The sequence below is a fragment of the Homo sapiens genome, chromosome 14, assembly GCF_000001405.40.
Source record: "Homo sapiens chromosome 14, GRCh38.p14 Primary Assembly".
Classification (NCBI taxonomy): domain Eukaryota; kingdom Metazoa; phylum Chordata; class Mammalia; order Primates; family Hominidae; genus Homo; species Homo sapiens.
This window is the reverse complement of record NC_000014.9, coordinates 90,039,184-90,065,777: the sequence shown is the minus strand read 5'-3', so window position 1 is coordinate 90,065,777 and position 26,594 is coordinate 90,039,184. Positions and strand designations below refer to the sequence as shown.

Sequence of the window (26,594 nt, the reverse complement as noted above, 5' to 3'; positions counted from 1 at the left end):
AGCCTATCTCTGCGTGAGGGCTACCCTTGGGCTGTCCATGAAAGAAAATAAGGCCAGAAGTACCTGGAAATTACATCCCCGTGCTCCTTTCTCATCCTCCCCAGACAGCTTTTTAACCAATTCCTGACAGGTGTGGTTGTGTAAACATCCCAGCTTTCTTGCATGGGATATCTGGGTCAAGAGCTTTGCTTTGCTTCCAAGCTTCCATTTGGGATTAGGTACCAGTTGCCCACTGTGGCACCTGCCTTAATAGCGTATCCTGGATTAACTTACTTTCCTTCCTCGATTCACTTTCCCTTGCACCGACCTGTATCCCTTGCTCCTCCCAACAAACTGCTTACACTCAAATTCTTGGCTCAAGCTCTGCTTCTAAGGGAACCCAAACTAAGACAAAGTTCCTCTCTAGCAACTTCGTAGCTCCACTTGCATCCCGTATTTCTGTTCTTCTTTTCCCTGGTTCTGAAGTTTTATTTGTATTTTATGATTATTTTCCTGTATACTTTGTCTGCTACCTCAAAGTCTTTGCAGAATAAAGCATGGTGGAATTAATTTTTAGAGGAAAAACACCATCATGTAATGTTACAATAAAAATGCAAGATATGAGTGGTTTATAGAATATAATTCTAATTTTTAAAAATGCATATGTATATAAGTATACGCAGAGGAAAAAGGAGACCAGAAGAAAATGGACCAAAACATGAACAGTGGTTAATTTGGATGATATTACTGCATATAACTTGATTTTTTTCTTCTTTATACTTTATTTTACAAAAAACCTGAACCTTCAGCTTTTTCATCTATAACGGGGGAGTGTTATGCCTACCTCATGGAGTTGTGTTGGCTGAAATGAAGTGTGAATGTCACACAGCAATGAGCTGCATTGCACATTCACATAATAATCATACAGTATGTGCCTAATACGGGCCTGATAAAGGTTAGCCAGTGCTGTTATTACAACAATTAGTGAAACAATTTAAAAGGAAATGTTACAAATGAGAAATAAAAATCAGCCCACACTGACATCATGTTTTTTACCTTTTAACACGCACGCACTTACAAGAGCTCATTGTCCCTCACAAGAACCCTGTGACAGGGGCAGGCTTACGCAGACGGAGGGAGCAGGGGGCAGGACTAATATTCACCAAATAGCTGATGTGCCAGATACCAAGGTGGGCACTCTGTAGATGCCTCAGATGAGAAAAGGATGGGGCTCGGAATAGTTAAGAGGCTTGCCCAAGATACAGAGGCAGGATGAAAAGCTCCCACTCCAGACTCTTTGTCCAGGTTTCTTTCCACTCCTCCATGCCACATTGTCATATTCGTATCCCCAAAGCCCATGTTCCTATATGGCCACCTACCCATGCCACTCTCAGTTCCTGCTACATGGATGCACCTGTCCACACACACACTCTGCTCCTTCCTGCCTCTGTGCCCACTGGGAGCACCAAGAGATGGTTTTTCATGGTGGTGGGAAAGATTCAGCCATCAAATCTCCCATCAAAACCACCCTAAGTTACCATTCAATCTAAAAAAATCCTGTACTTGCTATGCAAACACAGTAGAGTCAAGGTCACTTCCAAAGTGACACCTCCTAATCAGTTTGTTCATCCCAAGTCTTGCCTATGTGGAGATTCTGGAACTGTCTTCTGGGACGTGGGAGGTGATGTGAGGAGGGGCTTGTGGAACACGGCTAAGAGTCCAGCAGATAGTGTGGGCTCAGGGGGAGAACCATGGGGGTGTTATTCCTCCTTCACCAATCTTGGGCCCATTCTGGTCTGCTGCAAGGTTTCCTGCCTGATACCCAGTTATGGTGGTGCCATCATGGCCTGCTGATGGGCCGCACCATCTGGGATGGGATGGGGGCTGGGAGCCAGGCACTTCAGATACAGCCGGTGTGTCCCTAATCATACTGGTCCTCTGCCTCGCCTCCTGTGCATCAGCTGAAGCCCTGGATTCCTGGACTAGCCCTGGGAAGTCTTTCATGATGAATCTGACCTGAAGCCAATCTCTTTTGTCTTTTGTGCTGCTTCTCCTGGCAGAATGTCTATGTAGCACAGCCATGTGTGGGAGCCTCAAGGAGGCTCAACTTGTCGCCCCACCTCACCAGCGAGCTCTTCTAGAGTGCACAGGGGCAGTAGCTACAGAGCGCTCAGCACATGCACCCTGGGCTGTTTGCAACTGCCAGCCTTTTTTGCAGCTTGGAGGCCACTTCCTCTCCGTCTAACTCTTCCAACCTCCCTCCCCTGCTCCAGGTCTCTTTTTGCCCCCCTCAGAATTTATTTCTACAGCATCTTCCCTAACCCCCATTAATCACTTGATTATTCTTCAAGGATGAACAATCTTTAGGGGTGTGGCGCAGACTCCCCCAAATCATTTTCCTTCTGCTGGGAAATAAACACAGCTGATTGTAGCTGTGCTACATCTTTGCTAAAAAATTCTCAATGGCTCCCAGGTGCCTCTAGGTAAATTCCAGCTCCTCAGTCTGTCAGTGAAGGTCCTACCCCCGCCTCCATCCCATTAGCCAGCAGACCTTCCTAGTCTTCCTTCCACCACTCCAACCAGCTCATGGGGCCCCTGAGTGCGATTCTCTCCTACTCTAGAGTGCAACCGCGCTTTCAGTTCCCAAACCCAAGTTATGCCTAACACGAATTGATTCAGCCCAAAGGTCACTTCCCTGGTTCTTCCTGGTGGAAAATTTTCCATCTTTTGAACCGTCATTGGCACTTTTGCTTCCTCACTTTCAGTCTGCTGTTCTGATTTTTTCTCGGTAAGTGTGAAGTCGAGGGCAGAATCTTTTAAAATCTGCACTTCCCCTCTGACTGACTCAGTAAATGTTTAGTTTCCTGTCCCTATCTGTAAAAGCCTTCTTCCCCATGAACTCAAGCCGTGTCTCCTTCATTAGACTGAAAATCTCCCAGAGCAGAGCGTCTCCAATTTAAGGATCATTCCAATCCTTTGGGGACTTTGTTAACATGCAGATTCTGACTCGGCAGGTCTGCAGAGGGGACTGAGACTGCATTTCTAACAAGCTGCCAGGTGACGCTGAAGCTGCCGGTGCCTGGACCACATTAGAGCAGCGGGGAGGCAATACCACCTGTTGATCAGGCGACAGCTCATGTCAGTGGAGTCTGGCTGGGCGCCCAGATGGATGAATGAAAGGATGAGAGGGTCGGTCCTGCCCCCCGGAGGAAGTGGAGGCCGCCCGGAGGTTGTCAGCGAGTCCGGCCAGCACACTTACCTATGGTGGAAACGACGGTGCCCACGAAGTAGAAGGCGCCGGTGAAGTCCCAGCGCGGGCGGACGTTGTCCACGCGGATGCCGGCCCGAGTGGCCTCCTCGTAGTGGCGGAGGAAGCCGCGCAGCTCGTCGCGGCTCAGGTTGTGGCCGCGGCTGAAGTTGGCCAGGCGCTCCTCCCAGCGCTGCTTGGCCTGGCGCTCGTGCGCCAGCTCCAGCGCGGAGAAGACGGCGGCGCCGCCCAGCAGGTAGAGCACGATGAGCGCGGCCAGCAGCAGAAAGCGCGCGTTGTCCTCGTTCAGGTGGCCCGGGCCCCAGCTGAAACCCCGGCCAGCCATGGCCGGGCCCCCGGGGGCAGCCCCCAGGCCCACGGCACCGGGCGTCGGCGGAGTCTCGCCCACACCCCCGGGAAATAAGGGCCCCGGCGCTCAGCCAGCTCCCGGGCGCCCCACCGCCGGCTCGCCCATGACCGCCGGGCTCTCCCGCAGGCCGCGAGGCTCCCCCGGCCGCCGCCTCGGTAGCTCCTGTGGCGCCAGCTCCCCACGTCCTCCTTGACTCCTAGTTTCAAATCCGCTTTGTCGCCGCCGTTCCCCTCCACTCCCCCTGCTCTCCTCGGAGTTCTCCTTAACGCTGAAGGTCCCGGGGAACGGGCGCAGAGTTCACGTCTGCTTGGCGCTGGGATGCGGGCGCAGTTTCCACCCCGGCTCCCTGTCCGGCTCAGATAGGGGAGGGGGCGTGGCGCGTCTTCAGGGCAAGCTCGAGCCAACTCGAGTTTCCCGCAAAGAGACGGTCGCGGGGCGGGGCGGGGCGGGGCGGGGCGGCGGGGGGGGGGCGCGGTCCGGAGGTCTGCGGGTAAGCAGAGCGCCGGGGTCCTGGGTCCTGGTTCCTTTGACTATCGCTTCGCAGGCCGCCGACGGCTAGGACACGGGTGTCAGTCTGCTGGCTTTGTAGGTGCCTCCCCAGGTAGATCGACGATGGTGCCTCCTAGTTGTGGTCGTGGTGTCGCGCTGAGCCTGTGGCCTCCCGAGTCTCCGAATCGGCTGCCGGGGCTTAGGGATGGAGGGGGTCCAGGGCGGGCGCACGGAGAGAGGGGCTGTGCTGAGCGGCGTCCGAGGGCTGCGGCGTCCGAGGGCTCCGACCTCCGGCCGGGCCCCAACGCTGCGCATCCGTTGGGCGGACGGGCTGGAGAGAGGAGACCAGAAAGGGAGGTTGGAACAGGGAGCAAAGGAAGTTAGGGGCTTCTCCCCCGGGCAGCCTCCCTCGCCTTGACCATGCCAGAGCGCCCTTGGTCTCTGGATCCTGCGCGGGGGCGTCCTCTGCGCCTACTAGTAGGCTCCGCCCGGACCAAGCGCGCACCGCGAGCCAGCCCCGCTTCCGGAGAGGAGGCCAAACACTGGGGGCTGGAAGGGCTCCGCGGCCAGGAGACCTTGACCTTGGAGCGTTCCATCTCTTCCCCCCGGGCTTGGCTGCCTAGTGCGTTCCAGAGTTTTGCCTGGACGCGGGGTCCGCGCAGAAGGCATCCCCCACCTCATGCAGAACAGTAGCAAGGCTCTCCAGCAAACCGCCGGGGCCCCCTCCCCGAGACCCCGCCTTGTAGCGGGCGCTGGCGCCGCTGCCGCGCTCAGATCTCACCTTCCGGGGAGCGCCCTCTCCGCGCCGCTCCGTCGGGACTGTTCCCGGGCCTCCTGGCAGCCGCGGCCCTGCCCTGCCAGCCGGCGCGCGGAGCACAGGTCCGCACCGCGCTCTGCCTTCTCAGGCGGGCGCGCTCCGACGCTGCAACAGGTAGAGCCGTGCGGCTGCCAGCTGCGGCGACTCCACCCTGTCGCCCGCCTCCTTGCGCGCGGGCCCGCCTCCTGCGCTGGTCTCCGCGGGTAGACGCTCGGCGTTCGAAGGGCCGACCCGGGGCTGCGGTGCTCCCACCAGGGCGCGCAGATCTGGGTAGTGGATGCAGAACCGGCTGGTGGGACGCTCAGCCGGTCCGCGTGGGCCCTCCGGGGCCGGGAGAGGGCGCTCTGCCCCCTCCAGACACATCCCGCCCCCGCCCGCGCACACAGCCCCGCGCGGCCCTCCGGAATCACCCGCCCGGGCGTGTGGGAGCGAATCTGTACGCGGAGAGGAATGGATACGTGGGCATCTTCCCACCTTCCGAGAGAGCGGTTTCAGGCGCAGAGCCCCACACACCGCCCTTACGCACCAGGAGCAGAGACAGAAGGGCTAGGAGCCCTGTTGAGTAAAACCGTGTGATTTCGAATAAAGAAACACAGCTCTGGCGAGTGCATTTTCATCAGAAACCCTGGTGCTGTTAGCAGTCCTCTCGGCTCTGTTACTCACTCCCCAATGCCCCTCTTTCATCTAGCCTTCTGAGGGGCAAGAGCTTTAGGGGCATCGCGAGAATGGGTGCATGTGTATACACCCAGGGTGAGTACTGCAATTACCTTTTAAATCCATTTTATTATGAAAAATTTCAAACATTCTAAAAAGTTGAATTTTACAGTGAACACCCGTATACCCACCACCTAGATTCTACAATTAACATGTTACTATACTTGATTTATTAGATATCTACCCGTCCCTCTGTCCATCCATCAACCCATCTTGTTTGGATGCATTTCAGAGTAAGTTGCAGAGCTTGGTACACTTCCGCCCTCATCCCCAGTACTTCTGCCTGCATATCACTACGTAGGGTTCAATATTTACTTGCAGAATTTTTTTCCTTTTCGGATAAAATTTACATACAATGAAATGCACAAATCTTAAGTGTATCATTAGGTGAGTTCTGACAAATGGGTACACCTCTGCAAATCACCTATCCAACCTACCAGCCAAACATCACCAACAGGGTCCCCCTAAGTCCCTTCCCTGTAACTCCCTACCCACATTCCTCCAGAGAAAACCACTGTTCAGAATTTTTCTACCATCGATTACTTTCGCTTTTATAGAACTGTTTTTTTGTTCTAAATCTCCATATAAATGGAATCATGCCGGTATGTACTCTTTGGTGGAAAACATTATGTTTTTGAGATTTACCCATGTTATATGTCTTAGTAATTCCTTCCTCTTTATTGCTAGTTTTTCATTGTTTGGGTATACCATAGTTTGTTTATTCATTCTCCTCCTATTGATAGAAAGGAGAACTGTTAGAAAATTTTGGTCATCATAAATAAAACTGTTAGGAACATTCTTGTACAACTATGTAGACATATGTTTTCATATCTCTTACGTAAAGACCTAGGAGCGGAATTGCTGGGTCATAGGGTAGGTATGTATTTTGCTTTATGAGAAACTGCCCGACATTTTCCCAAAGCAGCTGTACTGACAGTGTACACTAGTTCTGGATGCTCCGTATCTTTGTCAACATTTGGCAGTATCAGTCATTTTAATTTTAAAACTACTGGTGGATGTAGCAATATCTCACTGTGGTTTTAATTTGCATTTCCCTGATGTCTAAAAATACTGGTGGATGTAGCGATATCTCACTGTGGTTTTAATTTGCATTTCCCTGATGTCTAATGCGCTTGCTGGCCACTTGTGTACCTTCTCTTGTGAATTTTCTGTTGAAATATTTTGCCCACTTAAAAAATTAGTTTCTCTGTTACTGAATTATAGAGATCCTTTATATATGCAGGATACGAGTACTTTCTCAGATACATATCTTGCAAATATTTTCTAACTCTGATTTGCCTATTTATTTTCTTAAATATGTTTTCTGTATGTTTGGTGCCCTTTGAGAAATCATTACCTCCTTCAAGGTTGCATAGGTTTTCTGTCTCCCCACACTTTTATATTTGGGTCTACGATCCATTTAAGTTTGTTTCCTTATGGTATGAGGTAAGAGTCAAAGGTCATTTTGTCCAGGTGGATTTCCAGTTATTCCAATGCTATTTGTTGAAAAGATAAATATGCCTGAGTTTCAGGAATTTAATTTGTTCATTATTTGCCCACCCTTATGCTAATACCACAGGATTTACATACTTATAGCTCTATAGTAGGTCTTTAGTGGGACTATAATTGAGTCCTCTAACTTTGTTCTTCTTTTTCAAGATTCTTTGGATGTTATAAAACTTTTACACTTCCACTAAAAAATCATAGAATCAGCTTAATTTCCTCCAAAAAGCTGTGGGATCTTGATTTCTGGGATTGTGTTGGATCTATTTTGGGAAGAACATCTTGACAATTCATGAAAGAGGTATATTCCTCTATTTATTTAGGGTTTCTTAACCAAGTTTTCATATGGAGATTTTGCACATCTCTTGTAAATTCATTCTAAAGTATTTTATATTCTTTTGATGTTATTGTAAATGGAATTTCAAAATTTTACTTTTCAATTGTTTGCTGTAGTCCATAAAAATACACGATTGTTGCAAAAATACTTGAATTCTTCAACCTTGCTACTTTAGTCATCAGTTGTACATGTTTTGTTGATTCCTTTAGGAGTTTCTTTGTAAATAATCATGTCATCTACAAGTTTTGCTTTTTTCTTCCTGATCTTTATCATCTTTTCCCCCTCTTGTCTGCAACGGCTAGAGCCTCAGTACATTATTCAATAGAAGTGGAAGCAGATATCCTTGTCTTATGATCTTAGGAGAAAACTTTCCTTTTATCATCATTTATATAATGTTAGCTGTGGGGTTTTCATAGAAACTATCGGATTAAGGAAGTTTCCTTTTATTGTTGTTTCTAGTTTTCTGGTGTTTTTGGTTTTTTGTTTTTTTTTTTTTTTTTTTTTTTTGAGACGGAGTCTCGCTCTGTCGCCCAGGCCGGAGTGCAGTGGCGCGATCTCGGCTCACCGCAAGCTCCGCCTCCCGGGTTCACGCCATTCTCCTGCCTCAGCCTCCCAAGTAGCTGGGACTACAGGCGCCCGCCACCATGCCCAGCTAATTTTTTGTTTTTTAGTAGAGACGGGGTTTCACCGTGTCAGCCAGGATGGTCTCGATCTCCTGACCTCGTGGTCCACCCGCCTCGGCGTCCCAAAGTGCTGGGATTACAGGCGTGAGCCACCGCGCCTGGCCGAGTTTTTTGTTTTTAATGAAGCATGAATGAGTACTGAATTTTGTTAAATGCCATATCTGCATCTATGGTGATGATCATATAGTTTTCTCCTTTATTCTGCTAATATGTTGTATTTCACTGATTGCCTTTCTAATGTTAAGCCAATCTTGCATTTCTGGGATATGTTGCACTTGGGGTTTCCACTCTATTCTTTTTATTCCTCTACTTCTGAGTTTACTCTTCTTTTTCTAGCTTCTTATGGTGGATGTTTAGATCACCGATTTTAGACCTTTCTTCTTTGCTAATGTTAGTGTTGCTGGACTTTTCCTTAGTTCAGCTAAAGATGGGGTCCTTGTCCGTCCTACGGCCATGAAAATTTAGGTTAGCAGAGGGTTTGTAGGGTGAGTAACGCAGGGCTTTATTGGGTGAAAGGGAAGAAAAGGGAGAAGCAGGGACTCTTACTAGGCCAGAGTCCCTGCTAGAGCGCTTCCAGCCGGCAGCTTGAATCCCAGGTTCCACACTAGAAGAGGAGGGGCCGGGCTCCTCCCTGCTGCAAGGGTCGTGAACTTCCCCAGGCTCCAGCTCCACCTCAGTAGGCAGGCTGGTTGGAGCTTCTCCAGCGACCCCCTCTCACTTGGCTCTCATTAGTATTTTTAAACTATACCTTTCCCTGTTAGCCTGGTGCTAGCTGCATCCTAAAAATTTTGGTATGTTGTATTTTCATATTTTATTCATATTATTTTCTGATTTTTTTGGGGGCACATGATTTAGAAGCGTGTTGCTTAATTTCCAAATATCTGGAGTTTAAAAAAGACACATTATTTATTTCTAACTTATTTCCAGTGCGTTCAGAGAACCATATTCAGTATGTTTTCAATCTTCCTAAATTTGTTGAGACTTATTTAATGGTCCAACCAGATGGTCTATTTTAGTGAATGTACTATGTGCATTTGAAAAGAAAGTGTATTCTGCAGTTGTTGGCTGTAGTGTTCTATAAATGTCAGTTAAAAGTAATTGATGGTATTTTTATGATCTATCTTTACTGACATTTGATCTAGTTATTCTATTGATTGGTGAGAGGAATATTTAAAATCACCAGCTGTAACTGTGTAATCATCTATTTCTACCTTTATGTCACTTTTTGTTTCATGTACTTTTAAGCTGTTATTAAACATATGCATTTATAATTATTGTATCTTATTGGTGTAGTGACCCTTTTATTAATATGAAATGTCCCTCTTTATCTCTGGTAATACCCTTTGCCTTGAAGTTTACTTTATCTGATATTAATCCAGTCACCACATTCTTTTGCTTGACATTTGCATGGTATCTTTTCCCATCCATTTACTTTTAACTTATCTGTGTAGTTTATGTATTTTAAGTGGACTTGCTGTGAACAGCATGCAGTTGGGTCTTTTTGGGGGGAATTTGTATCAGTTCTGATAATCTCCATGATTGATCAGACCAATGCTGGTCAATAGAATTTACGTGATAATGGAAATATTTTATATCTGTGCTCTTCAATATACTAGTGAAATATGGGAGTCACTACTGAGCACTTAAAATGTGGCTACTGCAATGAAGAGACTGACTTTTAAATTTTATTTAATGTCAATTAACAAGTATCGCACGTGGCCTGTGGCTGCCGTCTTAGTGCAGATAGAGACCATTTACATTTAATGTAGTTGTTTATACGACTGGACTTAAGTCTGCCATCTTACTATTTGTCTTGTTTGTCCCCACTATTTTTGGCTTCTCTGTTCCACCTTTCCTGACTTCTTTTGGATTAACTGGGTCTTTTTAGTTAATAGAGTATTTTTCAGAGCAGTTTTAAGTTCACAGCAAAATTGAGAGGAAGGTACACATTTCCCAAATACCCCTGCTCCCCCACACACGTAGCCTCCCCCAACAGAGCGGTACATTTGTTATAACTGACGAATCTACATTAACACATTATCAAAGTCCATAGTTTATATTAGGGTGCACTTTTGGTACTGTACATTCTATGGGTTTGGACAAATGTATAATGACATGTATCCACCATTATAGTATCACACAGAGTAGCTTCACTGCCCTAAAAATCCTCTAGGCTCTGCCTGTTCATCCTACCACCCCCACTCCTGCAGCCTCTGGTCTTTCAACTGTCTCCAAAGTTCTGCCTTTTCCAGAATGTCACATAGGTATAATCATACAGTATGTAGTCTTTTCATATTGGCTCCTCTCACTTAGCAATGTGGATCTACGTTTCCTCTGTGCCTTTTCATGACTTGATAGCTCATTTTCTTAAGAGCGCTGGATAATATTCAATTATCTGGATGTACCACTGCTTATTTATCCATTCACCTATTGAAGAACATCTTGGTTGCTTTCAGGTTTTGGCAGTTATGGATAAAATTGCTATAAACATCTGTGTGCAGGTTTTTGTGTGGACATAAGTTTTCAACTCCTTTGGGTAAATATTAAGAAGTGCAACTGCTAGATCATATGGCAACTATATTTAGTTTTATAAGAAGCTGCCAAATTGTCTTCCAAAGTGGCTGTACCATTTTGTGTTCCCATGAGCAATAAATGACAGTTGCTGTTGCTCGATATCCTTGCCAGCATTTGGTGATGTCAGTGTTCTGGATTTTGGCCATTCTAATAAATGTGTAGTGGTATCTCATTGTCTTAATTTATACTTCTCTGATGACATATGATGTGTGGAGCATCTTTTCCTATGTGTATTTGCCACATGTATATTTTGGTGAGGTGTCTTTAGCCTATTTCTTTTTAAGGGACAGAGCCTTGCTCGGTTGCCCAGGCTGGAATTTAGTGGCACAATCATAGCTCACTATAGCCTTGAACTCCTAGGCTCAAGTGATCCTTCTGCCTCAGCCTCTCAGGTAGCTGGGACTACAGGCATGCACCACCATGCCCAGCTAAGTTTTTTTTTTTTTTTTTTCCTTGTTGCCCAGACTGGTCTCAAACTCCTCGTTTGGCCCATCTTTTAATCTCATTGTTTTCTTATTGTTGAATTGTAAAAATTCTTTGTATATTTTGGTTAACAGGGCTTTATCAGATAACTGTTTTGCAAATATTTTCTCCCAGTCTGTGGCTGGTCTTTTTATTCTCTTAATGGTGTCTTTCTCAGAGCAGACATTTTTATCTATTGGCTTTTTAGCTCTATCTCTACATTATTAAGTGGTTGTTCCAGGGATGAACGTTTCACAGTTAAGAGCTAACTAACATGGTATCACTTTGCATAAAATATAGATAGCTTACTGTATAGGATCCTTTCCTATTCCCTTCCCTGCATCTATTATGCCATGATTGTCATTCAAATTATTTACATATGCTAAAATCCCACCAATTGTTTTTGTTTTTGTTTTTGCCTTTTTTGAGATGGAGTCTTGCTCTGTCGCCAGGCTGGAGTGCAGTGGCACAATCTCGGCTCACTGCAACCTCCACCTCCTGGGTTCAAGCTATTCCCCTGCCTCAGCCTCCTGAGTAGCTGGGACTACAGGCATGTGCCACCATGCCCAGCTAATTTTTTTATTTTTAGTAGAGATGAGGTTTCACCATATTGGCCAGAATGGTCTTGATCTCTTGTTCTCGTGATACACCCGCCTTGGCCTCCCCAAGTGCTGGGATAACAGGTGTGAGCCACCGCACCTGCCTATTGTTTACTTTAAACAGTAATGCACAGTTTAAAGAGGAGAAAGAAGACATCCTTTGTATTTACTCGGATGTTTACTATTTTCAGTGGCTTTTATTCCTTCTTAAAGATTTGAGTTTCCCTCTGGTAAAATCTCCCGTTAGCCTGAAGAACTTCCTCTAGCATTTCTTGTAATTTAGATCTGCAAATTCTCTTAGTTTCCTTTTATCTGAAAATATTAGTTTTTTTTTGTATTCATTCTTGAAATATATTTTTGCTGGATACAGATCTCTGGGGTGACTTTTTTTTCCTTTCAGCGTGTTAAAGATGATGTTGCACTGTCTTCTGGCCTCCAATGTTTCTAAAGAGAGGTCAGCAGTCATTTAAATCATTACTCCCTAGTTTCCTGTAGCTGATTTCAATATTTTCTCTTTAAGTTTGGTCTTCAGTAGACTATGATGCACCTAGATGGGGTTTTCTTTGTATTAATCCTGCTTATTATTCACTGAACTTCTTGAATCTGTAACTTTATGTCTGTCACCAAATTTGGGAGTTTTTCGGCCATTACCATGGGAACTTTTTTCACATTCTTGCACAGTTTTAATAGCTGCTTTAATAGCTTTGACTAGAACTTCTTGGGGTTGATCTCCTTTGTCTCTTCTCGTGAGAATGAGGCATACTTTTTTGTTTATTCAGATAGTGAGTAATTTTGGATTGTATCCTAGACATTGTATTTAGTGTATAATTTACATTGTGTTGTAGAAACTCAGGATTCTCTTATATTCCTCTGAAAAATAATTATTTTAAAACATGCAGTTAACTTGGTTGAACTCAGTGACAAAACTGTTTCCCCTGCAGTGGGAAGTAGTTCAACTTTTAGTTCAGTTCTTTCAGCCTTAGTTCTGCATGCATAGTTCAGTGGTCAGCTAGAGATTTGAGCAGTTTATATACAGAATTTAGGAATCCCCTCTCTGGCTTGCTTTTCTGTTATTTCCCCCTTTACTCTCGAGAGGCTGTGATGCTCTGAACTCTCTACTCTGGTTCCTCAAGCCAGCGAGACTGTAGATTGTACACTGGAGGCTTACCTGTCCTGCACAGTGCACGGACACCTGGCCTCAGGCTAACGGTGGTAAAAAAACAGGTAACTCACACAGTCCCGTGCCCTTCCTCCACTGACTCCTCTCCGGTATCTGCCTGCTTTTGGTCTATTTCAGTATCTTTAAGAAGTTGGTTTTTAAAGAAGGTTTTTTTCCAGAGCTTACAGTTTTTATTTGCTAAAGAATTGGTCCAATAGGAACTCTTTGGCTCTGCCAAAAACCTGAAGTCACCTGGTTTCCCCCAACATTGTATAATGACATTTTCAAACACATCAAAGAATAATTTTACAATGGCAGCTTGTAAATTGACCACTTAGATTGGACAATTACATTTTTATTTACTTGCCTGATCATGTATCTACTTGTCCATTAATATATCTTACATTTTATGCATTTCAGAGTAAACTGCAGATATCTATATGCTTGCCCCTAAATACTTCAGCATGTATATCATTAACTGGAATTCAACAACTGTTTAGTTTTTTCCTTTCTGATGTAGAATTTACATACAATGAATGCACATATCAGGATTTACATTGAGTATTTTAAAAATCAGCTTTATTGAACTATAATTTACATACAATAAAAATTACCAATTTGGTATATAATTCAAGGAGTTTTGTTAAATGTTACCAATGCCACAATTATGGTAGAAACATTTCTATAACCTCTAAAAGTTCCCTCATGCAGTCAAGTCCTTCTCCGGACCCTTGCACTTACTTTTAAGCCACTTAATTATACTTTGAGCACAAGTGGGGGCCACTCCCTAGAACAGGAATTGGAGTCCCTTCACTGCCAGATGTGTCCTGGGGGTGGGGGCTGGAGGCAGGGACACAGAAGGGATGGAAAGGTGGAACCAGGTCTCAGACTGGGCTCTTCAAGTGTCTCTTGGTTGTCTCTAGAAAGTAGTTAAGTAGCTCATTAAAGCCATTACGTCTGCTCCTCCAGCTAAAGGCAGATTCTGCCAATCCAAGCACAATTAAAGATGCTCATTTCTTGAGTGTGCTATGGTATTAGAGGAGATCAAGAAGCAGGATTTAAGAAGACTGAAACCTTAGGTTCACATACTTCTTTGAGCCCCAGTTTCTTCATTTATAAAATGGACTTCTTCCTGTGGGTGAAGTGGGACATGCCAGGCATGTAAGAGACACTCAGATATTTACTGTATGGATGCACCTGGTAAATGGTCAGGTTCTTGGCCAAGTATTTATTTTTAATCCCCAGCATGTTGTTTCTGATATTGAAGGAAGGTGACTGTATATCCTTTCTTTGCAAACTTAGGAGTGTCTTGTGTCAAACTTAGACATTCTCATAACATCTAAAAACACTTGTCCGATCCCTCCCACCACACAGGTGACCCTCTCTCCAGCCACTTCTCCCCAAGCCATTTGGTGGCCAGTCACCAGCCCATTTTTCACACCCTCACCAGTGGTGCACACTGCCCAGGCCCTTCTCCCTTGGACCTCCCCGGTAGCACATCACAACTCCTTCCTTCCTTTCAGAGAAGCCTTAGAATCTGTCTGTCCTAGTAACTTTCCCTGTTTCCTTCCTACCCATTCAGATCCTCCCCTCCCATATCAGTGAGTTTATATCAGGCATCTGAACCAAAAGGTCAGCGTTCCCAACAGGAGATGAATGGCTCTGCATGAGGGGGCTTTACTGACTGCAAGGCAAGCCCAGCCGGCCAACCTAAAGGCCCTCACCTCTACCTTCTCCCTCTTCACCAGCTATCAACTCACTCTTGGGGTTCACATTAACATGCATTCCCTAATTCCCCCAACCCCACCAATGAGATGCTGCCACTTCTCTCTGGGAGGCAGCAGGTATCACTAAAACAGTACTTGTAGGACAGGAAGTATGCTGCTCAGCTCTGCAGAGTTGTTCAGGGTGTGCTTCTGGGAGGCTCAGTCTAGGGAGGAAGACTTCCTTGTGAGCAGAGCCCCTTTCTGTGGGATGCAAAAAGGAGCTCCGTGGCCAAGATTCTTAAATCTATCCATCTTCCAGAAACAACTTCCATTTAGTAGTCTGGAAGCAGTATTTGTGGAAGAATGCTAGTTTCCAAAAGGCATGGGTTTTATCTTCTATATTTAATTGCCCCAGAGGCTGCCGGTTCCAAGCACTTTTATTTACTGCTAACAAATACAAATTGTTACAACTCACATTTCTGAAGTTCTTGCCACTGGTCAAGAGCACCACTTCATTTGATCATTATTACAACCCCATGAGGCAGGGCAGGACAGGTATTAGTCCTGTCCTTAAAATGAGAAAAGGAAGACTCAAGAGGCGTTACTGCAATGCCTCAAGGTCTCACCGCTTGGAGGAAGCAGACCTGGGACTAGACAATTCTAATGAACCCTGAGTGTCTTGTGGCTGAGTCACCTCTCAGGCTTCAGTCAGATCTCAGGCCATTACCAGGTGAGTATCTGTCTTCATTCAGGGTGGATGAACGAGGGAACCTGGAAAGGAACACACTCATCGATATGTAAATTGAAGCAAAAATAAGTCTACTGTGTGCTACACACAGATATTTTCATTAAAAAGTGCTGGTCATGGCCGGGCACAGTGGCTCACTCCAGGAGTTCCAGACCAGCCTGGGCAATATGGCAAAACCTTGTCACTACAAAAAAAAAAAAAAAAAAAAAAAAAAAAAAAAATTAGCTGGGCGTGGTGGCACGTGCCTATAGTCCCAGTTACTCCGGAGGCTGAGGCAGGAGAATTGCTTGAGCTTGGAAGGTGAAGGCTGCAGTGAGTTATGATTGCACCATTGCACTCCAGCCTGGGGGACAGTGCTGACCCTGTATCAAGGAAGAAAAAAAAAAGTGCTGGTCATGACTCTTAAATTGATTTTGCCCTCTCCAGACTGGGCAACGGTGCTGACCCTGGTTCAAAAAACAAAAGTGCTGGTCATGACCCTTAAATTGATTTCAGGATTCATTAAAGGGTTGTGACCCATAGTTTAAAAAATCACTGTTGTAGGACACAAGGGTTCACTAATTTATGTGACTTTTTCAAGAAACTAAAAAATATTTCTCTACTTGGTTTCCTTTTGCTTTTCAATATATTCTACAAGTTTGCACAAATTATTTAAGAGGCATAGGTTTCTGTGGTGCAATATTAATAGGTCACCTAGGGACGCTTCTCACTGTGGAGGAGACATCAGGCATTTTCCATCTCCCTTTGGAGAACTTCCCATCTGCTCCCTCCCTCCCTCCCCATCAGGGGCAGCCCCAGGATCTGGAGTAATTGGATCAGGAAAGGACTTGTGACTCAAGATGGCCAATCCCATGCGTCCAGGGACTTTTCCTGGGGTTGTTGAGTATTTTCTCTGGAATAAGGAGCTGGAAGAAAGATGGGATCCTAGTGCCACGGGGGAATCTTGGCCTCCAAGTATGGAGAGCTTGCTTGAGAATGAATGATGCCCACATTCTGGAAAGCAGAGCTGAAAGTTGGAGACAGTCTGTTACATTAGGGATTCCCTGGCTCCAGCACAGTTGCCAGACTTTTGTTAAAGTCTCTTTCATTGTACAAATCTAATTAACCTGGTTTCTTGTAACTATAAAAGAAACCTAATGTATTCTTTCATAAAAATATTCATAAAATATTGAGTAGCAAACATTTGAGGCTTTTAAATTTTAGTAATGTCAATTATATGAGAACAAAATCAGCATTCAGTTTAACTGTTAATTTCTAAAGAACCTATGAGCAAACAGCCATCCAGGGCACACACAGTAGCATCATCTATGTCCTCAGGTCCAGAAAGGGATAGCATTGGCTTAGCTAGGATAGACTTAGCACCTCAGATGGGGCACAGATCTTGTTCATTAACCAGCTGTGTAACCCTGAACCTTATTTTTCCCTCTATATAATAAAATTAAGATAGTATCACCTGCCCCATTGTGTGAAGATGTATATACCTATGATCATAAATTACGATTTGAGTTACCCGTAATAAATGCCCCATGCATGCAATTTCCCCTTTGCCGTTCCTTTCTAAGCTTCTCTTTTTGTATAATGAAAAAGGTGACTGGTCCAGATGCCTTCCAGTTCTTGATAAAAGCAATGGACGCCAGGTGTGGTGGCTTGTGCCCATAATCCCAGCTACTGCGGAGGCTGAGGCAGGAGGACTGCTTGAGGCCACAGTGAGTTATGATCGTGCCACACAGCACTCCAGCCTGGGTGACAGAGCAAGACTCCATCTCTTTAACAACAACAGCAACAAAAAATAGCAAGGGGCTCTTTGAAAACCTTCCTACAAAGGGAACAGGAGACACTGCAACATGTGCCTTAGATACATGAACCATAAAGTTGGTCAGACTGTGGAGCTCCTTCTAGGCCTACTGTGAATAAAATATAATTTATACACATCGATTGAATTCTGCTTTAAAACAGACTTGATTGGAACTCTGTGAAATACGGGACAGGAGTTGCACCAAGACTTGCATGCTCTGCACACCACCCGCTAGTGTGGGCTGCCTCTTGCCCTCCCCATCTCTGGTATCTCCCATGCTGCCTTCTCTTCTGACATTGGCCTCATTCCTCCAGCTCTGTGCTTTAGATCTACTGAGTCAACAAAAACGGTAGGTTTCAGAAAATTTAATAGATCATACTTAACAGTGCAAGTGTTCAGCCCTTTATGCTCTTACCTGAAAGGAGCCCACTCCACTTGTAGGTCTGGCTTTAATAATTCCATGGCTCAGTCCTGCACACTGATGTGACATTTAGTGGGTGACTTTATGTGCTGCTAGTTGGTTCTGTCATGTCAACCACGATTTGCTGTTACAGTGGATGAAAGCGTACCCAGTCTTGTATATATAGTTACATATCACGTATGCCAAGTGTATTAGTCCATTTTCATACTACTATGAAAAAATACGAGACTGGGTAGTTTATAAAGAAAAAGAGGTTTAATGGACTCACAGTTCCATGTGGCTGGGGAGGCCTCATAATCATGGCGGATGGTGGAGAAACAAAGGCACATCTTAACATGGTGGCAGGAAAGAGAGCACGTGCAGGGAAACTCCCATTTATAAAACCATTAGTTCTCATGAGACTTATTCACTATTACAAGAAGAGCATGGGAAAAACCCACCCCCATGATTCAGTTATCTTCCACCAGGTCCCTCCCACAACATGTGAGGATTATGGGAGCTACAATTCAAGATGAGATTTGGGTGGGGACACAGCCAAGCCATATCTCAAAGCCTGCCCCTTGGCTGGACCTTGGGAACATCTGCTGCCTGGATCCTCACAGCAGTATAGGATGACCCTGGAGCTAAAATGCCTGGGTTCAAATTCCAGCTCCACCACTTGCCAGCTATGCGACTTTTCAAAAATAACTGTTATTTCTCTATCTGTAAATGGAGATGACGGTGGTATGTCTTTGATAAGGTTATGAAAATTTAAATAAACACAAAACCCATAGAAGAGTTCCTGGCACAAAGCGCTCAGTGCTTGCTGGCCAATGTTAATGCTCAAGGACCAGTGGACACAGACCAGGCTGAGTTGATCACCAGCCTCCAGGTGGGCCTTGGTCATGTCATTGCTGACATTCCCAGGGGCATATGGCCACAGACCACCTTTGATCTCTCATTTTTTGGATGTGTGAATCCTATTATATAAGCAATGGCCACCAAACTTACTAGTTGATAGAAACACAGTAAGAAATTGTACAGTTTATGGTATTCTTTTGTCCTGGATTTGCTTGAAATAAGTGGGCTACTAAACTTGGAAAATTTGTCAAAGATTTTATAAGAGGATCTGACCTAGGCATAATGTGGTGTTAGTACCATATTCACACTGGAAATCACGTAATACTGTATTAATTTATATTAGGGATAACTATATAACTTCCACTAAAGAATCCAGGAAAACCAAGCTGAACTTGTGTGTAGTGCAATGCAGGAAGGTGTGCACTTTTGAGACAGCAGAGTCTTGGTTCCATTGCTTACCGTGGACTTTAAGTTATTTAACTCCCTTGAACCTCAGTTTCCTCATCTGTAAAATAGGTGTAATAAGGCAGCGCGTGGTGGCTCATGCTTGTAATCCCAGCACTTTGGGAGGCCTAGGCAGGCAGACCAGGAGTTCAAGACCAGTCTGGCCAACATGGCTAAAGCCCGTCTCTACTAAAAATACAAAAATTAGCTGGGCATGGTGGCAGGTGCCTGTAGTCCCAGCTACTTGGGAGAATCACTTGAACCTGGGGGCTGGAGGTTGCAGTGAGCCGAGATTGTGCCACTGTACTCCAGCCTGGGTGACAGAGCAAGACTGTATCTCAAAAAAAAAAAGGGCTAATAATGGTACATTTTTCAGGAGGTTGATGTGAAGATTAAGTGTAAAGCACTTAGACACAGGCACTGAAACACAGGAAGAACTCAGGAAACATTCGCTGTTACTGTTAGGTGGAAAAATACAGCCTTCCAAATCAGGGGCACGCAGCTTCATGCCAACAGAGGGGAGATGAGGGTTTCTTCAGTTAGGGAGAAGTAATTGTTAAACCTCAATGGGAGAATGATGGAAGCATGGTTTCCTCAAAAACATTAGGCATGTTGTGGTCAGTCCCAAAAAAAAAAAAAAAAAAAAAAAAAAAGACCAATGGGTAGAACTGCTTGTTTTCTGTGTTCCCATGTGTTGATTATTTTTGGGGAGTTACTTTACTTCCCATGTGTGCTATCAGCTGTGCCAGAAAGCACAGGGTAGTGACCCTACCCCCCACTGGCCTGGCTCAGCCCTGCCCTTCCCTAAGCCCCTCACCTTGGCAAGGGGCACAGCACTGCTGTCAGGGGTTGGGCCTGGACACCTACCAAGTGCAAACTCCTTGACCATGGACTCTCCCTAATGTGACTTCAATGTTATCTATTCAGCCCATTCTGCAGAACTTCTCTCCCCATTTCCAGGTGGGGCCCCCCCAGGGCCTAGAGGAATACTACTCCAAGTGTGAGTACTACTGCCAGACTTGGAGTAGTACTCCTCTAGGCCTGGGAGGGCCCATCTGGAAATGGAGACTCAGCACGGCCGGCTGGTGCTGAGTTCAGAAGGTCAAAGCAAGCATTCAGAGACTTCCATAGCAATTTGACAGTGTTGACACAATCCAAGCACCTGACTTTATATTCTAAAAATGTCATCTGTCCACAATAGATTGGGAAAAACAGTCCACCTCCTTAGATACAGCCTACCACACTGCCCTGGAGCTCTGGCTGTACAGTCCAGTAGTTAACAGAAGAGGCTTTAGGTGCTGTCTGACCTGAGTTCAGGTGCTGCTAAAGTGCACTTTGTAGAAGTATGACCTTGGACAAGCATTTTACCTTTTGAATTTCCTTCAGGAAAACATAGACAATCCTAATGACCTACCTGTAACAGTGACGGCAGTAAGCACTTGTATTCATTCTGTGCAGGCGTGGCTTAACACTTTATATGTACTAAGTCACCAGACACATCAACCCTCTACAAACGGTATTATTATCACCACCTTCATTTTGTAGTTGGGGGACCATGGCACAGAGAAGTTATATAACCTGATCTAGGCTGCACAGCCAGTAAGTGGCAGAGCTGAGATTCAAACCCTGCCCACCTGACTCCAGCTCTGAGCTCTGACCCATTTTGCCAATCCACCTCCTTGTGCTGTTATGTGGATCAGATAAGCAATGTACCCGTGTGACCCCCACATAGCCATCATGTAGCTATCAATCTGCCACCATTGTCTTGATTGGCTGGGTCCTGCTCCAGAGCAGGCCAACTGACTGCAGCTGTGATGAGGATGCCCTGCTGACTGTGAGGCTTGCCTGGCATTACCTGGAAGCCTATGCTGCCCCTGCCCCAACGTGGGTGGGACCAGTGCATGGTAAGAATCGCACATTCTTTGCCACGGTCCTTTGGACACTCGGATTAAACTGCGGGGCCAGCCCCACCATGATGTCGCCTTTCACTACCAGCCCCAGGGCTCTCCCTGTTTCCTTTCATGGCTGTTGAGCTCATCTGATGTCGAGTTGTAATGTTTTCGTACATAGAGGGTAGGGTCACAAAAGGCTTAAGCCTTATCTGCAAAATCAACTGGTTAAATTAGTTCAGTAGCTTTTCAAGTTTATTTAAAAAAAGCAGAACACACAAAAATACATACAACACCCCAGATAATGTCCTTTACAGAATCCCAGTATGTACAACAGATACAGCAGAGCCTGTCTGTTGGAAGGTGGGAGGCCCTGCAGCCCTGTCTCCCTGCCTCCTGCTCTATCGCCACACCCCCACTGCAGCCTACAAGGTTCCTAAGGTACTTTTGGAAAATCCTAGGCCTCTGAGGAACAGTTTGAAAGACTACTTTAGAAAATCTTTCAAGACTAACGTTCAACTCTATCCTAAATTATAAGATAAAGAGGTTGATGACAAACTGGAAATCAGCCTCATGCAGAAGAAAACAAACAGGGTCTAAAGCACCCTAGGGAGAACACAATGTACACAAAGCACAAAGACACTCAAGCTCTGAGCCCCGCTCACTGTGTGACCCTGGGGACATCCTTAACCTTCTAGGCCTTAGCTTCCTCACTTGTGAATTTAAGGCATCAAATTAAGTCACCTTTTAGGATTTTTTCCCAAAATACTTGTGTGCTTTTGTATGTTTCTATGAGCTGCTTCCTCTGAAAGTTTCTGGGGATAGAAGAGAGACCCATTTACCCTAGGCAGGTGTTTGGGTTTGGTGGGACCTGTCTGTAAGCAGTGAGGCAGCCAGCAGGGTGCCAGGGAGAGAGGAGAAGCCTCGTAAAGCTGAAGCTGAAAGCTATGAAAAGCCGCTGTGAGGACAGTCAATACAATTCTTAGCTGCAGGGGGCTGAAACAGCACATTGGTCTCAGAGACAGATCCTAGGATCACCTCCAGCGACCCCAAGAGACGTACTCAGAAAGCTGAGAGAGGGCATCGGTGAAAAAGGAAATGATCGTGTTCTTCCTGGGTAAAGTTCTGGTGGAATGAAGGGTGCCTTTCTGGATGGAGGGTGGAAGCACAAAGTCAATCTTCAATTCCCAACAGCTGACAGCACCAAGAGATTCTATGTTACTGTGAGGATAATTTTATATCTATATAGATTTGAGCATCCCTAATCTGAAAATCTGAACTGCTCCAAGATCCAGAACTTTTTGAGTGCTGACATGATGCTCCAAATGAAAATTTCCATGCCTGAACTCATGTGATGAATCACGGTCAAAAGCCTGTCAAAACTTTGTTTCATGCATAAAATTACTCAAAATATCATATAAAATCACCTTTAGGTTATTGTATATAAGGTGTATATGAAACATAAATGAATTTTGTGTTTAGATTTGGGTCCCATTCCCAAGATATCTCATTATGCTATGCAAATATTCCAAAATTCAAAAAAATCCAAAAGCTGAAACACTTCTGGTCCCAAGCATTTCAGACAGGGGATACTCAAGCAGTACGTATTTTTAACATAGAGAAGTTCACTAATTTTCTTTCCAAAACATATAAAAGTGAATTAAGAAACTAATACTTTATTAGGAATGTTAATGTCCATTAAAAGTATAACCAACATCCATTCATAAGAGTGACCTTTGGAAAGATTTTGTAAGGGTGCAAATAAGACTTTAAGGGAAGTGGACATCCAGTACAAAGAAGAGATTCCATGTTTGTGGCTCAATGTCTTACACTTAAATTTCACAGTGCCTCAAGATTCTCAGGAGGGCACCCACATGTTCCCATGCGTATCCGGTGCTTTGACATAAGGAATGTTCCATATCCATGGCCGATCTGGGGGAAAAACACATTACGTAATATTTATTTGAATAGGATGGTAGAAAATGCACTCACCTGATGGCATAAAAACACTTATGTGCTTGACTCTCTAAACTGTGGTAGAGTATTTTCTGAACCAAGCCCAGAAGATTCTCCCCCTTCAGACAACAGCTTTTAGCGAAGGCTCCTATTAGGACACTAGGTGAGTGAACATGGGGAATGAAAAGGTTTGGCTGTGTCCCCATCCAAATCTCATTTTGAATTGCAGCTCTCATAATTCCCACATATCGTGGGAGGGACTTGGTGGGAGGTAATTGAATCATGGGGGCGGGTCTTTCCCATGCTGTTCTCATGATAGTGAATAAGTCTCACACAAGATCTGATGGTTTTATAAAGGGGAATTCCCCTACACAAGTGCTCTCGTGCCTGCCACCATGTAAGATGTGTCTTGCTTCCCCTTCGCCTTCCACCATGATTGTGAGGACTCCACAGCCATGTGGAACTATGAGTCAATTAAACCTCTTTCCTTTATAAATTACCCAGTCTCCAGTATGTCTTTATTAGCAGTGTGAGGACAGACTAATACAGGGAGGCAGGCAGAGACACAGGGGCAAATCCTGGTGCTGCCACTTACTAGCTGTGTCACATTGGCAAATCACTTTAACCAGAACCCCAGGTTCCTTATCTGTACCTATGTTGTGGAGCTGTCACGAGGACTGAGAAAAATCCACATAGACATTGTATCTGGCAGACAGAAAAGGCCTAACAAAGGGCAGCAATTCCTTTCTTCTTTTAGGAAGCTGAAGAAAGCAACAGTAATAGTTGGTACAGCCACAGGTGCAGCTCTCAGCTGGTCACACGTAACCAAGAGGCCCACAGTCACATTTATAAAATGTTTTTGTTCTATTGTTAAGGGTTAATAATTGATGAAACATGAAGGCCTCTGTATAAATAACTGTAGACCAATGCTGAAGAAAACAACATGCCTGGGTATGGTACAATGGAAAGGACACTGAGGACCATGTCAAATTCCACCTCCTCCGTCCCTCTTAATACCCTAGGGAAGGCATGTGGGTTATGGCATCAAGTTCCTCCTCTATGGAATGGGAATTAATTACTTTAGCAACTGGCAGGGATTACTATGGAGCACAAATGAGAACATCTGTGAAAGCTCCTGTTGTAGGTGCTCAATAAATGTGAACTTTTCTTCATCTTAACTGATGTTTCAGAAATTGAAAACATTTCAACAGATCACTTTTACCACACATTGCCACTGCTAGAGTCAAACCATTTCAAAAGAACTATAATATGGGTAGACCGTAAATACATCACAAGGATTAAAAATAACTCCCCATATTATTGTCTTGGTAAGTGTTAGAGAAACTTCAAGGGGCTAGAATGCACATTGTAAACTGCTTCTTGGCGGGTCTGGCATGGACCACCAAGTTAAAGCAGTGTCTCCCAACTGCGAACTCGCCTCTGGGGCAACCTTTCCCTTTCTCTTGAACAGAGGCAGATGGTAGGTCACAGGAAGGTCTGACAAACAATGGTATCTGCTGCTGTCTTCTCGCAGCCTCACGGTTTGTTCAGAGCCATCATACGAACAGCAGCACCCAGCAGGATAGGTAGGAAAAAATACCAAAGATGGCAGCAAATCATCAGAACGCTGTTTGTCTGTCTCTGGCTTTGGGATGGTCTGAAAGCATGAAACCAAACACTTCTTTGTTAACTAAACAAGCTTGTTAGAGAGCCATACACCTGGGTCTGTGTTGCATGCTTGTTTCCTAAGAGGCTGAGGGTCTGGCAGGGCTGACAGATCTGACTCCCCATTGCACTCATTGGCCTCAGCAAGCCCTTGCTCTCTTCCACTGGAAACTCCATCTGTGCTTGGACTTCTGTTATTTACCCATCGTTTCCTGTATACTGTTCTGTTGGGTAACATCAGCTCTGCTTCATTCCCAAGGCCAATGACACCCAATTCTTGCTATGAGTGCTATTAGACATACTATTCAGCAATGCAGGATTTTTGATACAAGCATTTACCACTCAGCCAGTAACTTAAATATCACTGTTGCATTTACTCCTCTCCCTCAAAATTAGGTCATAAATGACCAAGCAAGGACCTGGTAACCACTCTGTTGGCAAATTCCCTGTAGCTCTGCTTTTTGAGTTTTTAGCCTTTCCAATACAAAAACTAAACTCTGCTGTTTAAATGAGTAGAATGTCTATAGCTGGCTGAAAAGCCCATCACTACCTGGAGGCAAAGCTAGAAAAATAACCATAGGAGGAGAAAAGAAGGTGGTTGTGATTCTTTTAACTCATCACTCCTGGAAATCAGCATTAATACTCACTGGTTGAGAGGAAAACCTGCTTTATGCAATCCTCCTAAATTGTCCCATGAGAGAACAACTTGCCTTGTAATAATTCATGCACGTATTTAAAACATTTGTTGCATGCTGGCTAGGTGCCAGAGATTTGCTAGGTGCTATGGACAGAGGGGAATAAGCCATGCATGAAACCTCGCAGGGCTTCTAGTCCAGTGGGGAAGACAGACAAGCAGGCATGCCACAGAGGTGGAGTTCTGACCTTTTCCACATCTGTGTAGCAGTCCCCTAACCTGGCTGACATGAGAAACGCTGGGCAGCCTGTTAGAGAACATTTTCCCAGGACACATGCACAGAGACCTTGTTTCAGTAGGTCTGGGTTGTGGCCTGGCAATATGCATTTTTATCAAATTCTAAAGATGATCTTGATGTAGTCAGAGTTTGGGATTCAAGGCTACGGGGATGGGAAGCTGTCTTTTTTCTGGACTATAGTGGAAGAATTTAAAAGAGGGGAGGGTCATGACCAGATGTGCATGGTAGCACTGTAGAGGATGGCTTCCAGTGGGAGGAGACCAGAACTGGGAAGATGAACAAGTAAGCAAGGCTGGGTGAGAAAGAGGAGGCCTACATTAAGGCCATGGCTGGAAGGATGAAAATGACAGCCCATGTGGTTTTGATCTCTTTATATACAGAGTCTCTGTCCCATCTCTCCCTGTGGTCATACTGTGTGCCTCTTCTGCCTCTTTAACTCTAGAACTTAGCTCTCCACGGGGAGGTAGTACCATGTAACGGGAAAGGGGGTGTGGGCATTGGAACCAGACTGCCAGTGGGGCCTTGACCAAGTTACTCTGAGTGCCCTAGATTCCTCATCTGGAAATTGGGGATTGTACTATCGTACTTGCATCATGCGGTTGTGAGGATACAATGAATTAATTCATGTCAAGTGCTCATATGAGTTCCTAGTACACAAAAGTACTTAATGAATGCTAGCTGCTTTTGAGATTACTCACCTCCCTCAACTCACAGAGGATAAGGATTGTCACCCTATGTACTATGTAGGTCTTAACAGTTTCTTTTTTTTTTTTTTAATAATCAGATAAATCCAAGTGACGTACAAAATCCTGTTTAGCCAGGTAATAAGGTCTTTTCTCCAACCCCCTAAGAAATGGCCACGGGTTAAGGACTTATGACTCTGCTCTCACCCCCATGCCCGAACACCCACACATACATTTTCCACTGTCATCTCTATGCGAAACCTGATGTACGACCTCCAGAAGCCACTGTCACTGTCTTCGCCTGAGCAGTCACTTTTAATTCTTATACCAGGAATAAGTAAAGTAGGGTGTGGGGGCAGGGTGGAATGCCAAAGAGATGAACCAATTATCCTAAAAGATCCAATGCCATTTTACATTAGCCTACTCTGAAATCAAGGAATGTACGAGACATGCCAGCTAGAAATGCCAAAGAGAGCTCCAAAGTGTTTTGCACTGATTTACCAAGTTAGTAGAAATGCAATTATTTGTAATTACGGTATCAATGTTATCTGAAACCCATTAACACCTTTCTCTGTGAACTGC

At 45.0% G+C, this 26,594-nt stretch overlaps 3 protein-coding genes across 20 annotated transcripts in view, besides 3 other annotated features; all 3 read right to left on the bottom strand.

Moving 5' to 3' along the window:
• KCNK13 (potassium two pore domain channel subfamily K member 13) overlaps positions 1–3,784 on the bottom strand; it is a 123,860-nt gene extending 120,076 nt beyond the window's left edge. The window contains exon 1 of the mRNA NM_022054.4: positions 3,239–3,784. Within this exon, the coding sequence (NP_071337.2) occupies positions 3,239–3,572 (334 nt within the window). The 5' untranslated portion in view covers positions 3,573–3,784. The remainder of the gene's footprint in view (positions 1–3,238) is intronic.
• Positions 3,842–4,341: an enhancer, noted in NCBI's record as "H3K4me1 hESC enhancer chr14:90527781-90528280 (GRCh37/hg19 assembly coordinates)". NCBI's record gives its function as "activates a minimal SCP1, AML or CMV promoter by ChIP-STARR-seq in naive H9 embryonic stem cells {active_cell/tissue: H9 hESC(naive)}" and the evidence as "EXISTENCE:reporter gene assay evidence [ECO:0000049][PMID:30033119]".
• Positions 4,045–17,644, bottom strand: LOC124903406 (uncharacterized). The gene is made up of 3 exons (XM_047432048.1): positions 17,598–17,644; positions 4,867–5,376; positions 4,045–4,416 (listed from the first exon to the last, which is right to left on the bottom strand). The coding sequence occupies exons 1-3, from the start codon at positions 17,642–17,644 to the stop codon at positions 4,152–4,154; spliced, it is 822 nt and encodes a 273-aa protein (XP_047288004.1). The 3' UTR covers positions 4,045–4,151.
• Positions 4,342–4,843: an enhancer, noted in NCBI's record as "H3K4me1 hESC enhancer chr14:90527279-90527780 (GRCh37/hg19 assembly coordinates)". NCBI's record gives its function as "activates a minimal SCP1, AML or CMV promoter by ChIP-STARR-seq in naive H9 embryonic stem cells {active_cell/tissue: H9 hESC(naive)}" and the evidence as "EXISTENCE:reporter gene assay evidence [ECO:0000049][PMID:30033119]".
• Positions 5,092–5,481: a silencer, noted in NCBI's record as "silent region_6005". NCBI's record gives its function as "represses an Ori minimal core promoter by ATAC-STARR-seq in GM12878 lymphoblastoid cells {active_cell/tissue: GM12878}" and the evidence as "EXISTENCE:reporter gene assay evidence [ECO:0000049][PMID:35858748]".
• TDP1 (tyrosyl-DNA phosphodiesterase 1) overlaps positions 21,014–26,594 on the bottom strand; it is an 89,797-nt gene continuing 84,216 nt past the window's right edge. For all 18 annotated transcript variants that reach the window (XM_047431570.1, XM_011536942.4, XM_047431568.1 and 15 more), the window contains one exon: positions 21,014–22,708. In XM_047431570.1, the coding sequence (XP_047287526.1) occupies positions 22,635–22,708 (74 nt within the window). In that variant the 3' untranslated portion in view covers positions 21,014–22,634. The remainder of the gene's footprint in view (positions 22,709–26,594) is intronic.

Bases quoted from the DNA above. Each gene is read 5' to 3' on its own strand.
- LOC124903406 (XM_047432048.1), bottom strand. From the start codon at position 17,644: ATGGAATTATTAAAGCCAGACCTACAAGTGGAGTGGGCTCCTTTCAG. The intron at 5,377-17,597 runs GTAAGAGCATAA...CTCTCTCGGAAG, and splicing joins GTGGAGTGGGCTCCTTTCAG to GTGGGAAGATGCCCACGTAT. The intron at 4,417-4,866 runs GTGAGATCTGAG...TCCTCTCTCCAG, and splicing joins GAGAGGGCGCTCCCCGGAAG to CCCGTCCGCCCAACGGATGC.